Raw genomic sequence first — 15,308 nt, forward strand, 5'->3', positions numbered from 1 at the left:
GGTAGTAGCTGCATGAGCACCCTTTAGTGAACGGCTCCATAGAACATTTATGTCAGTTTGTGAGTCTGAACAAGTAAATTAATTTTCTAAACAGAAGACCCAGGAAATAAATCATTTTGTAAATCCCTAGAGGTTTATTTTCACTCATTTTTTTTTCATATCCTTAATGATAAGCTGTGCATTCTGGCATTGGGGGCAGGACATGCATTCAACAGAGGCTTCCATGCATTCGACAGAGGTTTGAGCATCTAATAAGTACGAGACACTGTGGTAGGCACTGGAGATACTAAAAGATGTGAGAATGGCCCCTGGCTGTAAGAACATCCAAGGATAAGTGGAGAAGAGATGCTCATTCACAGTTAAAATACAACATTATGAGCTCTAAAACAGCACAACACTGAGGGGTTCATGAAAATCTCCTCCAAGGAGGTGAGCACCTGGCTATTTTTCTCTTTGTTTGTCTGGGACAGGGTCTCTTTCTGTCACCCAGGCTGGAGTGCAGTGGGACAATCACAGCTCACTGCAGCTTTGAACTCCTGGGCTCAACAGATCCTCCCACCTTAGTCTCTTGAATAGGTGGGACCACAGGCATGCACAACCATACTTGTCTAATTAAAATTTTTTGTTTGTTTGTTTTGTAGAGACAGGGTCTCACTGTGTTGCCCAGATTGATCTTGAACTCCTGGGCTCAAGAGATCCTCCCACTTCAGCCACCCAAAATGTTGGGATTACAGATGTGAGCCACGTGCCTGGTTCTGGCTGTGTTTTTAAAAATAACAAACAAGAGCTGCTTCTTTTAGAAATTGAGAAATCACCCCTCTTGTGATCCAAACAAACAAGAGTAAAACTTAGGAAGTATGGTATTGGCCAGTCAAAATATTCTTGTTTAAAGTAGCACAGCAGAGGTTATAGACAAAAAGAGTAAAATATATAATATTTCTTCTAAGTTTAGTTGTTTAAACAACTAATTGTGCAAATTTAATTTTGGTAATATGTATGCTGCACTGTGTTGGCAGTGAAGTATTGTTTGATTCTTCCTGCGTATTGATTCCAAAAGCTTCTTTTTTGAGATACAGCCTCGCCCTGTCACCCAGGCTGCAGTGCAGTAGCGTGATCTCAGCTCACTGCAACATCCACCTACTGGGTTCAAGTGATTCTCCTGCCTCAGCCTCCCGAGTAGCTGCGATTACAGGCATGTGCCACCATGCCCGGCTAATTTTTTGTATCTTTAGTAGAGTTGGGATTTCACCGTGTTGGCTGGGCTGGTCTCAAACTCCTGACCTCATGATCCGCCCGCCTTGGCCTCCCAAAGTGCTGGGATTACAGGCCTGAGCCACCACACCTGGCCCAAAAGCTTCTTAAAATGCAAACTTCAGGACTTTCAATTATCCTTTCATACTTGACAAAAATTCAGAATGTACTAAACCTTATGACACATATAACTTTTTGTGTTGTTCTTCCTTGAAAATGGGGGCAAAAGTTCCAGCTAGCTTGGTGTGAGATGTCATTTTCTTTGCCTTGAAGATAGAAGAGGTAGTAAGCCTTCCAGGCAGATTATGACACGTGCTTTACAGACCACTACTCACAGGTTCAAGGAGGGGCTTCCATGAAAATGTAGCAGTAAGATGATCTCCCTGCCTCCTTCTTCTCCTGGGTCTCAGGGTCAGAAAGGAGGCTGTGCAGGAGAGCATAAGACAAAGAATGATGATTCTAAATAACAACTAACAGTGATTTTTACTTCCTTTGGTGGGTTGTCTAAAATTTAATTTCCTAGTCTCTAAAAATGAGGGATTTGGGTTAGAAGACCTCTAAGAATCCTGAGGACATATTGTAAGTATGACTCTACGTTTGGTAAAGCAAAACATTTAGATGAAATAGTTACTCTGGTAATGCAAGTGCCAACAAGACTCAAATTCCTGAATTTTCTTGATGCTGTCAGTAGGTCAGTTTTTAAATGCAATTTAAAAATTAGTCCTGAGTAATTGAGAAGGCATAAAATAGCGACCAGTTTATCCAATTTGTCGTTACTGGTTTACCACATATCTAAAGAGATAGAGGTGTTATAAATCAGCCCTGTAGTTTTTATCTGTGGTCCTGAAACTTGGTACTGCTACTCTGGGCTTCTTACATCACTGACTTTTCACAGATTTCCTGAAAATAAAACCTCTATATTCAAGGGTTGAAATTTGGCTCTCTCATAGATATTGTCCAGGAACATCCTTGTCCATGAGATTTGTGGGCTTTCAGGAAGACTACTGTGGACGTGGAGCACATTACATCTCAAGGAATCGAGGAATCCATCAAAAGGCACTCATTGCTTGCTGCAATGATTGTCCTTCTCTGTCCTCCAGGCTCCCAGCACCCACTGTGTGGAATACAACTACACCATGGCCAGATATCCCATCTTTCATAAGATAACTTTAGATTTAGGTATGAATTTGTTCAACATTTTTCTCTTAATAAGGCAAAAACATGCTATAGGTTTAGGGAGAGAATCCTGGAAGGGGTGGACCAGTCAAGGCTCTGAGCCAGAATGAGGGAGGCAAGCCAAGTTCAGGACAGAGAGGGGTAAGGACAAGGTCAATGGTGGGTTGGAGCCAATTAGGCAGCTGGACTGTCATAGATAGAATCTGCCACGCAGAGATGGACATGAGTTGAGTCCTGTCCCTTGGCACTAGCTGCAGACTTTCAGTTAGTTCCCTAATGCCTTTGTGTGTATTTCCATGGGAAATAAAATAGTGTCTGCATCATGAGCTTATTTGAGGGATAAAATAAGAAAGTAAACAGACCATGAATGTGCCTAGCAAATAATGGTTTCTCAATTAAAAGTAATTCTTTTTGGTTTGCACTCAGTGTGGAAATGCAGGGCGGATGCAGATACTGGGCAAAAGTCTAAACACATAGCTCTGTGATGTCTCCAAGAAAAGAGGAGGCAGAGAATGACTTGTAGGGCAACAAATATTTGTCAAGATCCTCTGTGCTGCTGGGCCCTCCTGAGGCTACTGTAACCACCCGATGGGTTCTTCCTGCCTACTGCACAGACAAAACCAATTCACTGAGACCATGGCATTAAAATAAAGAGTTTAGTAGACATGAGGCTGGCCAGGCCATGTGGGAGATGGAGGAATTACTCAAATCAATCTCCCAGAAAATTCAGAGGCTATGGTTTTTCAAAGATAGTTTGGTGGGCCAGGGAGTCCACTTCTGGAAGTGGCCAAAGGACTGGTCAGCAGAGGTTTGGCAGGTCTGGGTGGAGCCACTGGTCAGAAATGCAAATACCTGGACAGACAACTCAAAAAGCCAATCTTAGTTCTGCAGTAGTGATAGTATCTGCAGGAGTCATGGGGGAGTTGCAAATCTTGTGACCTCCAGAATAGTGGCTGGTAATTGTTTATATCTACACCTTAGCAAAATTCAGCCTCCTCATCTTCCTAACCTGGTGGTCTTTCATTAGCTTCATAAAGGTGGTTTAGTTTTGGGGAAGGGCTATTATCAGTTAAACTATAAACTAAATGTCTCCCAAAGCTAGTTTGGCCTAAGCCCAGGAATGATTAAGGGCAGTTTGGAGGTTAAAGGCAAAGTAGGGGTTGTTAGATCAGATCTGTTTGACTGTCATATTTTTCTCAAGTTACAATTTTTGCAAAGGTGTTTTCACTACTTCTTTGGAATTTGTTTACCTTCTTTATTTAAGGGTCCTGCATTAGTCCATTTTTACACTGCTAACAAGAACTGCCTGAGACTGGGTAATTTACAAAGGAAACAGGTTTAATTGACTTACAGTTTTGCATGGCTGGGGAGGCCTCAGGAATTTACAATCATGGTGGAAGGCAAAGGAGAAGCAAGTACCTCCTTCACAAGATGTCAAGAGACAGAATGAAAGGGAAGTGCCACACTTTTAAACCATCAGATCTCATGAGAATTCACTCACTATCACGTGAACAGAATTGAGGAAACCGCCCCCATAATCCAATCACCTCCCACCAGGTCCCTCCTTCAACCTGTGGGGATTACAACTTGAAATAAGATTTGGATGGGGACACATAGCGAAACCATATCAGGTCTTAATCAAACACAAATCCTGGGCCTGATTTGAAGCAGGTCATGAGAGAGTGGAGTACAATGGCAACTGCAGTGGCATGAGCAGAGAGGGGACAGGAGGATGGCTCCCACATGGCAGAAGGATTGTCCTCAGGCACCTTTTACACATGGGACATCCCAGTGCATTTACATATATCAATGTATCTATTGGAGTTAGGTTTATAGGGAGCTTTTAGGAATGCAGCTACTGTATGAAGGCTGCCTTAAGGCTTTTGGGAGAGGAAAGGCAAGGCATGAATGAAAAGAACAAAACCTAGGCCGGGCGCGGTGGCTCACACCTGTAATCCCATCACTTTGGGAGGCCGAGGCAGGCGGATCATGAGGTCAGGAGATCGAGACCATCCTGGCTAACATGGCGAAACCCCATCTCTACTAAATATACAAAAAAGTAGCTGGGCGAGGTGGCAGACACCTGTAGTCCCAGCTACTCGGGAGGCTGAGGGAGGAGAAAGGCGTGAACCCGGGAGGAGGAGCTTGCAGTGAGCCTAGATCACACCACTGCACTCCAGCCTGGGCGACAGAGCGAGACTCTGTCTCAAAAAAATAAAAAATAAAAAAAGGAAAAGAACAAAACCTGTAATAAAAAGTAAAAAGATGCCATTCGTTAGTGAAGCTTTACAGATATCACTTGCCTTCAGTTTCAGACACAAGCAATTTTCCTTCACTGGTGTGCTGGCTTGAGGTTACTGCTGCTCAAAAGCAATTTCCTTACTTTTGTTGTTAAGCTGTATATTCCCCCTAAGCACTCTGGTGTTTTCCATAGCTGACAGTCTCATGATTTGAATTGTAGGTTTTGTTTATTTGGGAACCTTTCGTATATTTTATTCTGAACCAATAAACATTTCTAGCCCTTGAGGAGGACAGCTGAAGAAGAGCAAGTGATGCCAAATGGTGTGGCTTGTCCAAGAGCAAGGGCTTCAGAATTGTGTTAGCAGAGCAGGAGGACACTGGTCATGACTCTGAACCTGGCAGGGGGTCTGGCACAAGGACTGATTTGGATTATTGATAAAGGAAGCAAGGTCAGAACCAGAATGCTCTCCCTTGACCCTTCTGAGAAAGAACTTCTAATCCTTGGTAGTTGTGTTAGGCTCTTCTTGCATTGCTGTAAAGAAATATCTGAGACTGGGTAATTTATAAAGAAGAGAGGTTTAATTGGCTCACAGTTCTGCAGGTTTTACAAGGAGCATGGTGCCAACATCTGCTTAGCTTCCTGGGGGGCGGTGGCGGGCCTCAGGAAGCTTACAATCATGGCAGAAGGCGAAGTGGGAGCAGGCACATCACATGGTGAAAACAAACAAGAAAGAGAATGCAGGGAGTGGTGGTGGGGGGAGGTGCCACACACTTTTAAATGATCAGGTCTCACAAGAACTCACTCACTATCATGAAGACAACAAAAAGCCATGAGGGATCCACCCCCATGACCAAAACATCTCTCACTAGGCCCCACCTCCAGCATTAGGGATTAAAATTCTACATAAGATTTGGGTAGGGACAAATATCCAAACTATATCCTTCTGCTTCTGGCTCCTGCCAAATCTCATGTCCCTCTCACATTGAAAAATACAATTATGCTTACCCAACAGTTCCCTAAAGTCTTAACTCATTCCAGCATTAACTCAAAAAGTTCCAAATCCCAAGCCCAAAGTCTCCTCTACAGATAAGTTCCTTCCATCTGTGTACCTGTAAGATCAAAACAAGTTATTTACTCCCAAGATGCAATGGAAGTATAGGCATTGTGTAAACATTCCCATCCCAAAAAGAAGAAATCAACAAAAAGAAAGGGGCTAGAGGCCCCATGCAAGTTCAAAACCCAACAGGGCAGTTGTTAAATCCTAAACTTCTAAAATAATCTCCTTTGACTTTATGTCCTACATCCAGGGCACATTGGTGCAAGGGGTGGGCTCTCAATGCCCTGGGCAGCTTTGCCTCTGTGGCTTTGTAGGGTAAGGCCCCTGTGGCTGCTCTCAGGTTGTTGAGTGCTTGCAGCTTTTCCAGGTGTAGAGTGCAAGTTGCTGGTGGATTCTACCAATTCTGGGGTCTGGAGGATGCTGGCTCCCTTCTCATAGCTTCACTAGGCAGTGCCCCAGTGGGGTCTCTCTGTGGGGCCTCCAACCTTACATTCCTCCTCTGCACTGCCTTCATAGAGGTTCTTCGTGGGGGCTCTGCTCCTGCAGCAGGCTTCTTCCTGGGTACCCAGGCTTTCTCATACAGCCTCTGAAATCTAGGTGGAAGCTGCCAAGCCTCGTTTACTCTTGCACTCTGCATGTCTGTATGCTTAATACCACATGGAAGCCACCAAGGCTTATAGCTTGTGCCCTCTGGAGCAGTGGCCTGAGCTATATATGCATACCTTTGAGCCATGGCTGGAGCTGCAGTGGCCAGGATGTTGGGGGCAGTGTCCTGAGATTGTGCAGGGCAGTGGGGCTCTGGGCCTAGCCTACAAAACCAATTCCCTCCTAGACCTCTGGGCCTGTGATGGGAAGGGCTGCCTTAAAAGTCTCTGAAATGCCTTTGAGGGCTTTTCTCCACTGTGTTGGATAGTAGCACTTGGCTCCCTTTTAGTTATGCAAATATCTCTAGCAAGTAATTGTTACACAGCCTGCTTAAATTCCTCTCTTGAAAAAGCTTTTTCTTTCTCTCCTACATAGCCAGGCCACAAATTTTGCAACCTTTTTTACACTCTGCTTTTCTTTTAAATGTGTTTTAACTTATTCCTTTGCTTCTACACCTAAGCATAGGCTTTTAGAAGCAGCCACAACACTTCTTGAACACTTTGCTGCTTAGAAATTTCTTCTGCCAGGTACCCTAAGCCATCACTCTGAAATTCAACCTTCCACAGATCCCTAGGACATTAATCCCTAGGAATTACCATCCTGGAATGCTCTATTTATCTTGTGAACATGATTGGTAATTTTCCATAATACATTCTGTGAATTGTCAGTGGATAAGGCCTTTAATGTAAAAAGAAAAGTCTACAGAATTGCTTGTCATTTGCCTAAGAGAATCTATAATAGATCCCTAGGACATAAACAGAATGCAGCCAAGTTCTTTGATAAGGCATAACAAGGGTGACATTCACTCAATTTCTCAATAAACTCCTCATTTCCATCTGAGACCTCCTCAGCTTGGACTTCGCTATCCATATCACTATCAGCATTTTGGTCACAACAAGCTAACTAGTCTATAAGAAGTTCCAAACTTTCCCTCATCTTCCTGTCTTCTTCTGAGCCTTCCAAACTCTTTCAACCTCTGCCCATTACCCACTTCCAAAGCTGCTTCCACATTTTCAGGTATCTTTATAGCAATGCCTCACTCCTGGTACCAATTTTTTCTGTGTTAGACTGTTCTTGTATTTCTATAAAGATATACCTAAGATTGGGAAATTTATAAAGAAAAGAGATTATATTGTCTCATGGTTGTTCAGGCTTTTCAGGAAGCCTGGTGCCAACATTTGTTCAGCTTCTGGGGAGGCCTCAGGAAGCTTACAATCATGGCAGAAGGTGAAGGGGGAGCAGACATATCACATGAAAGCAGGAGCAAGAGAGAGACAGAGTGTGTGTGTTTTAGGGGTGCCATACACTTTTAAATGGCCAGATCTCACAAGAACTCATTCACTACCACAAACACAGCACCAAGCCATGAGGGATCTGCTGCCATGATCCAAACAACACCCACCAGGCCCCACCTCCAGTATTAGGGATTACAGTTCCACATGAGATTTGGGTGGGGACAAATATCCCAACTATATCAGTAGAATTAGCATCTGGGGGCAGGAAACTTTTTTCTCCTGACAAGTTGCAAATTGATCCATTGGTTCTCTTAGGCAAATGACAGGCAATTCTGTAGACTTTTCTTTTTACATTAAAGGCCTTATCCACTGACAATTCACAGAATGTATTATGGAAAATTACCAATCATGTTCACAAGATAAATAGAGCATTCCAGGATGGTAATTCAATGATCACCTAAGAAGACTGTGTCTTGCTAAGGTCACCACATGCGTCTATGTGTGTGCCCACACAGATACATCCTTTATCTGCAAGCAGATATGTTATTGGTGTCTCATTTGAGTTTCCTTGAGTTGGTCATGGGCTTTAATTGCTGCTGTTTGATTATAAATTACAATTTGTTTAGCTTCAACTGATTGGTTACCTCTTCAAAATAGAGTGACTGATCTGTATTTGAGTCAACAGTAATTTTTGACTTAAGCTTTTCCAAAATTTAAAATTTAAAATGTGTATATACTATGGTATAAATAGGAATTGGCCATTCTCCTATTGCATAATAGATACATAGAATGCCCCATTCTGCAATTTTTGAGTATGATATATCTTCAACTTTGATGGGCCTGTGAATTTGTGCTATTTAAATAACCTGCACCTTATGATCAAGGTAAGTCTTTTAAAATCACTGAATTATTTTTAACATTTATAATGGGTTATACCCCTTTGTATTTTTCTGTTATGAAATAAATCATAAGCAAGTCATCAAATTGGAACTTGACAGTTTATAATAGCATTTTTTTCTGTTATACTCCTTTCAATTCTTTATGAAAAAATTTTTTTCGATTGCAGTGTGTGTGGGTGATAGGCTCTGGGATCTTCTGCCTATCTGCAGTGCTCTGAGATTCAAAAAGTACAATTCCAACTCTTTAGAGATCAGCTTATGTCTTACCTCCTCGTGAATCCTGCTCTGAGTCATCTAGGACGGAGCTCTCTATCTTAGGGATAATCTGTCTTCCTCTTGAGTTATGCATATTTTCTTGGGTTTGCAGTGGAATTTTTCAGTTCTTTACAGGTTAGGACCATTATCCAATAAACTTTATTTATATTTCCCAGAGTTACCAAACACTTGAGGGCACATACTGGACAATCCATAGAGAGTTCTCAGCTGGGGTCCTTCTTGTCATCAATAGTGCATGACAGGTAAGAAAAGTGTGGGAGGATCACTTTGAGAATGGGAATACTTAGATTTATGAAAAAAAAAGTGATAAATGAATGATCTGTTTCAAACAAAGGTCATATTTGAGCCAAGTCACACAAAGTACAGGCATGCCAGAGTGTCAGTGTTAGGCAGACAAAGCGGGAGAAGGAGCTATGTCTTACTTCTCAAGTCATGCTTTAGTGCACCCCCCGGTTGACTCATCTCACTGCTTCCCACTGGTGCCCGCATGCAATATGTTCTCCTCACCAGTCAGTGACTTTTTAAAAATGCAAATCAGATGACATTGCTCTGTGCAATACCCTTTAATAGCTTCCTATTGCAGTCCTAATGAAATCCAAAGTCCTGCCATGGCCTCCAGAGTCCTGCCTATCTGGCCTCATCTTCTACTACCTTATCTCCCTACTCCAGCCATGCTGGCCCTTTCCATCCTCTTGGACTGGCCTAAGCTTGTGCTTGCCTTGTGCTTTTGCCTGATGTGCTCTCCCTCTGGATCTTTGTGTGGCTGGCATCTTCATGTAATTCTGATCTCATCTCCAATATCAACTCTTCAGGAAAGCCTTTGCTGACCCTCCATTCTAAATTTATGTGCCCACTGCTGCATTGTATTAATCATGTTTTTATTTTCTGTGCTTTATGATGTTTTGACATCTTGGGGCTTTGCTCATCCTGGAGAAACTGCCCCTCCAGGGCTGGCTCCTAGGGATAGGAAACAACTTGCCTGCAAGAATGCCCTTTTCTTGTCTTTCCTTTCCTTTCCTTTTCTTTTCTTTTCTTTTCTTTTCTTTTCTTTTCTTTTCTTTTCTTTTTTTTTCTTTTCTTTTCCTTTCCTTTTCATTCCATTCCATTCCTTTCCTTTCCTCTTTTCTCTTTTCTTTTCCTTTCTTTCAGATGGAGTCTTGCTCTGTTGCCCACGCTGGATTGCAAGTGGCACAATCTTGATCTCGGCTCACTGCAACCTCCACCTCCTGGATTCAAGTGAGTCTCGCGCCTCAGACTCCCAAGTAGCTGGAATTACAGGCATGTGCCACCATGCCTGGCTAATTTTTGTGTTTTTAGTAGTGATGGGGTTTCACCATGTTAAGCATGCCTTTCACATGCAAACCAACCAATCCAAAGCCCACGCCTCAACACCTTCCTTTATCTCACTCACACACCAAGCCAATATTCCTCCTGCCCTAAATCATCCCAGGGCCAGGTACCAGACAACTCAGGACTGTTGCTATAGTCAAAAGCCCACTGAAATTAGCCAAAGTATCCAATCCTAAACTTGCACTGCCTGCCCGGTCTGCCCCCCTCATTCTTTCCTGTGAAATCTAAAATAATGGCTCTTGCCCATGCTTTCTCCTTGCTTGCACTGCCTCCTGGCCAACCCTGGTGCTTCCCCATGTGGCACTGCAGGGCATGGTATCCCCCTCCTGTAGGGAACTGTGAGTATAAACTCTTTTTTCAAGGCAGTTGTCTCCATGTCTGTCATCTTGCCACACTGATTAAAACAAAATCCCAAGAACATTTAAACACATACTTTACCCCATGTGGCCTTATCCTCCGTCATTTCATCCTAGTTTTGTTTTTCGGGACTCTTAGCCCCTGAAACTTGCAAATATAAGCTGCTTTTCCTTGGATACAGGAAAAATGAGTGCAGGGGTCTTTTTTCTGTTCACCACTACAGCCCTAGCGCTCAGACCAGAGCCTGGCAAAATGGGAAATCAGCTAATATTTCCCGACTGAAGCTTATAGACACTGAGAGAAGAGCACTAAGAAAATCAAATGAAAGAATGAGAAATCATTTTGAAAGTTCTGAAGTACTACACAATTAAAATGGTTTACTGATATATTCCCCTGGTCTCTCAAATTAATTTTAAATAACATCACTGGCAGGTTCTGGAAAGGCATTATGGAAGTACTTTTACACATTTTTTCTGCACAGAAGTCCAGGATATCCATAGTGGCCTCAGAAAAATTTACTAGGGAAAATTATACCAAAGTGACCCTGTGACTTCTTCTGAGACTGCCTTGTGTTGGCTCCCTCTTCCTGGGCAGTCGGACTACATCTCCCAGAATCCCTTGCAGTTGGGTCTGGTCATTATGACTGCTCTCTAGCCAATAGAATGCAAGTGAAATTACCATGCGCCACTTCTGGGCCTGGCCCATCCAAGCATCCCCTGGGCAATTATTCGTGTTCTTTTACCTTCCCAGGTGAATTCTGAAACTGTGGGTGGTAACTGAAAGTGACATAGAATGGAAGGAATCTTGATTTATAAAGTATCACTTCAAGCAACGTCACTCAATGACCGGCAACATTCCTTTTGGACTTTACCTGGGTGAGAAACTTTTAATGAGTTAGACCACTGAAGTTTCATGGGTGAGCTGCTTAGCAGCTGCTGTTGTCTTAATTAACATAGGTACCTCTGGGGCCAGGTGAAATATAACTGGTTCCAAACTCTGGTGATGACAAGGGATTGAAAGCCCTCTTCACACAGGGAGATGTACTTCTTGAAGACCCAAGGTCGTGAAAGTAGAGCAAACTCTTTCTGATTAGGCTTGGCGTCCACTTCGTGTATGGTCCAGGTCCACTGCTCTGTGCTCCTCTCTGCAAATGCTGCGATTCAGGTTCTGCCATGACTCAGCATCTTCCCTTGATTGGGTTAGAAAGGGCAATCCTGAAGAAAAGAAATTCATATCTGTCAATTTGGTGGAGTTTGCAAAAGTCTGCTAAAATGAAATTGTCTGATATTAATTCTCTGGGCCACAGGCAAATGGCCAGAAGGTAGACATCTGATTTCCTCCCAAGACAGGACTTGCTGCCTGAGGCCTGGCTGTCAGCAAAAGGTAAAGGCCTGGAACTCACCTGCCACTGTGCAGTGTTCATCCCTTTTCTAACCATCTGTTCTCCATCCTGGGAGGCAGGACTTCTGTGCTTTCCCATCATTGAAGCCACTCTTCTGCATAACCCCTTATCCCTCCCTCTGCCCTCTGGGTAGATGAATTCCCTCCTTCACCCTCAGAATTGCCCCTCTGAGCCCTTCCCTCAGAGCTGTAGTTTGTCCTCAGCTGTTTCAAGGTCTCCATAGTGATCCAGTGATGGAGAAGAATAGGAAAATTTGGGGCTGTTGTCAGGTGGCAGAGGCTTTTCTCCACAGATTCACCGAAGGCAAAGACCAAAGGGAAGGAATGCCTGTAAGTTTCCTTTTCTGTGTCTGGGAGGGTGCGGCAGTAAGAACCCAGGCTGGGTTTCTGGAGACCTTAAAAAAAGACCTGTAGGTGGCCAGGTGCGGTGGCTCATGCCTGTAATCCCAGCACTTTGGGAGGCTGAGGCAGGCAGATCACGACATCAAGAGTTCAAGACCAGCCTGGCCAAGATGGTGAAACCCCGTCTCTGCTAAAAAAACTACAAAAATTAGCCAGGTGCGGTGGCAAGCGCCTGTAATCCTAGCTACTCAGGAGGCTGAGGCAGAATAATCGCTTGAACCTGGGTGGCAGAGGTTGCAGTGAACCAAGATTGCATCACTGCACTCCAGCCTGGGCGAGAGAGAGAGAGACTCTCTCTAAAAAAAAAAAAAAAGAAAAAAGACTTGTGGGTACTTTCCTTTATGGCATGATTCCTCCTTTTATGGTTTCAGCTTTTAGCTAAACTTGGAGAAAGTGACAATGCTGTTTCATGCCCCACAAAGAAAAAAAACCTTGATCTCTGGCATGAAGAGTCCATTGAAACAAGGTATTGAGACATCAGATATTTAGGATGAAGGTTTCGTGAGGAACCAGGTAAGTAACTTGGATTCTAATCCTGGTTCTGCCCTAACTAGTCATGTGTCTTTTGGGAGGTCATTATTTCTGGATCCCTTTTCCCATTTACAACATGGTAGTGGGTTTCTCAGTGCTTCTGGATCTGCCATTGAGAGGTCTTAGGTGCCCCTGGGCTCATACTCCCTTCCCCTCCTGCTTCCCACCACATTTATGTTCCTTACATGTTTGGGTTGCAATATAAGCTTCTATTTAAAGAAAAGCTCCTTGGCTAGATGATCTAATTATGATGACAGCTGCCATTTTGAATGTTTGTGCTATTGGTTAAGCCTGTGTCATATACAAATCTTTATTTTTCATTCAAAAGAAAAAAGTTAATGCAGTCACTCTTTCCCTTGGTTCTTACATTCTGATTGTTTAAAATGAGACAGGAGTTGAGCCTGGCCTTTCCTGGTGCATGCTTTTGCAACACAGCACACATCAGTGGCAATACCAGGAGAAAAACCCATTGCAGCCTCTATCCTAGTAGTCAAAGAAAGGCTGCCTTGAGATCCCCTTCCTCAAGGTGAATGTCATGCTGGGCAGGTGAGCGCCATCTGCGAAGAAGCGCTCTGTAGGGCGATCATGCAGCCACAGGAGGAGACCCGTAAGCCTGGGTATGTGTAGTTACGGGATTCCCCTGCGTTCGGGGCCTCTCAGCTATCTCCCACCCTTCTGGTGGTTTATCAATCACAAAGAATAAGCCAGTGATTACTATCCAAACTAGTTTTCCTCTTGGAAGCAGTTGTAGGAGATGAATGTCCCAAGGGTAGACAGTGTGGTGCGTCGATCATTCCTGGAGAGGAGCTTGGGTGAGGACACACCAGGTGTTTTCCAAGCATGAGCCTGCTTTCCGCAGGGTCCTGCTGAGCTCACAGGGCCCACAAGGTGGCGCGTGAGCCGCAGAGATGGCGAGGAGCCCCGCGGGCGAAGAGGCTGGGCGGCGGGGTGAGGAGGAACCCTGGAGCCCACCCTGGAGTGTCTCCCTCAGGCCACACCCTCCTCGCAGGTGCTATCCACACCTCACAGTTCTGTGCTTGAATATCCTTGGTCTAATGTCTGTCTCTAGATTTTGCTTCTGTGAAAGCCAGGCCCTGGCTTTCTGCTGGTTCCCTGATGAAGTGCACGGTGAGTGTTTACATTCCTGATACATTTAATTCCATGAGCTACAACATGATGGAATTTCATTTTTAAAGCCCTTACCAGCTCCAAGTATTACAGACAAGCATCCAAGTCTGTGGGTAATCACGTGTTCTACAAAGGACTTGAATCTAGAGTATATAGGAAACTCTCCACTCTCAAAAAATTAACATTCTGTTAGAAAATGGACAAAACACAGACTGATATTTCATGACGGGAGAAGATATCCAACTTCATTAATCATTAGGGAATGCAAACTAAAACCACAATGAGGCTGGACCCCGTGGCTCACGCCTGTAATCCCAGCACTTTGGGAGGCCAAGGCAAGTGGATGACCTGAGGTCAGGTGTTCGAGACCATCCTGGCCATCATGGCGAAACCCCAACTCTACTAAAAATACAAAAATTAGCCAGGCATGGTGGTGGGTGCCTGTAACCTCAGCTACTCAGGAGGCTGAGGCAGGAGAATCGCTTGAACCTGGGAGGTGAAGGTTGCAGTGAGCCAAGATTGCGCCACTGCACTCCAGTCTGGGCAACACAGTGAGACTCCGTCTCAAAAAAAAAAAAACAAAAAACCACAGTGAGACGTTACCACATACCTGTTAGAAAGGATAAAGTGAAAAATAATGATAACACCAAATGCTGGTCAAGGGTGCAGAGAAACTGGGTCATTTGCACATTGCTGCTAGGAATGTAAGCTGGTACAGCTGCTCTGAAAATCGTTTGGCAGTTCTTCATAAACCTTCATAAAATGGACTTGCCATACAACCTAGCAGTTGCATACTTGGCCATTTATTTCAGAGAAATGAAAACTTATTTTCATGGAGAAACTTGTACTTGAATGTTGATAGCCGCTTTATTTTCAAGAGCCCCCAGCTAAAAACCACCAAATGTTCTTTAATGGATGTATGGCTAAACAAACTGGCACAACCATACCATGAAATACTATTCAGCAATAAATGGGAGTGAGCTATTGATCCCTGCAGTAACTTGGATTAATTTCCAGGGAATGATGCTGGGTGAAAAATGTCAACCTCAAAAGAGTATATGCTACGTGATATTTAAAATATGACATTGGTCATATAATTATGAATATTGAAATGAATTACAAATACTGAGAAACATAATTACAGAAACAGAGAGCAAATTAGTGGTTGTCAGGGGTTAAGGATGAAGGGGAGGGAGTAGGTGTGGCTATAAAAGGGCTAGCTGAGGAAGCATTGTGATGATGTTGGAAATCCTGATTGTGGTGGTGGCCACATGGAGCCACACATGTCATAAAATGTCATTGAGTTATGTGAACACACACGAATGAGTGCATGCATAACTGGTGAAATCTGAATAAGC

At 43.7% G+C, this 15,308-nt stretch overlaps 1 long non-coding RNA gene across 1 annotated transcript in view, besides 2 other annotated features; it reads left to right on the forward strand.

Moving 5' to 3' along the window:
• Nucleotides 1–2,212: 2,212 nt before the first annotated feature.
• Nucleotides 2,213–15,308, forward strand: part of LOC102723686 (uncharacterized) — a 121,255-nt gene continuing 108,159 nt past the window's right edge. The window contains exons 1-3 of the long non-coding RNA XR_007060599.1: nt 2,213–2,430; nt 8,937–9,023; nt 12,663–12,804. This is a non-coding gene — a long non-coding RNA (uncharacterized LOC102723686). The remainder of the gene's footprint in view (nt 2,431–8,936; nt 9,024–12,662; nt 12,805–15,308) is intronic.
• Nucleotides 11,361–12,560: an enhancer, noted in NCBI's record as "MED14-independent group 3 enhancer chr7:152887976-152889175 (GRCh37/hg19 assembly coordinates)". NCBI's record gives its function as "activates an origin of replication core promoter dependent on BRD2, BRD4, P300/CBP and CDK7 cofactors, and independent of MED14, by STARR-seq in HCT116 cells {active_cell/tissue: HCT116}" and the evidence as "EXISTENCE:reporter gene assay evidence [ECO:0000049][PMID:35650434]".
• Nucleotides 13,772–14,272: an enhancer, noted in NCBI's record as "H3K4me1 hESC enhancer chr7:152890387-152890887 (GRCh37/hg19 assembly coordinates)". NCBI's record gives its function as "activates a minimal SCP1, AML or CMV promoter by ChIP-STARR-seq in primed H9 embryonic stem cells {active_cell/tissue: H9 hESC(primed)}" and the evidence as "EXISTENCE:reporter gene assay evidence [ECO:0000049][PMID:30033119]".

This window comes from Homo sapiens, chromosome 7, assembly GCF_000001405.40.
Source record: "Homo sapiens chromosome 7, GRCh38.p14 Primary Assembly".
NCBI lineage: Eukaryota > Metazoa > Chordata > Mammalia > Primates > Hominidae > Homo > Homo sapiens.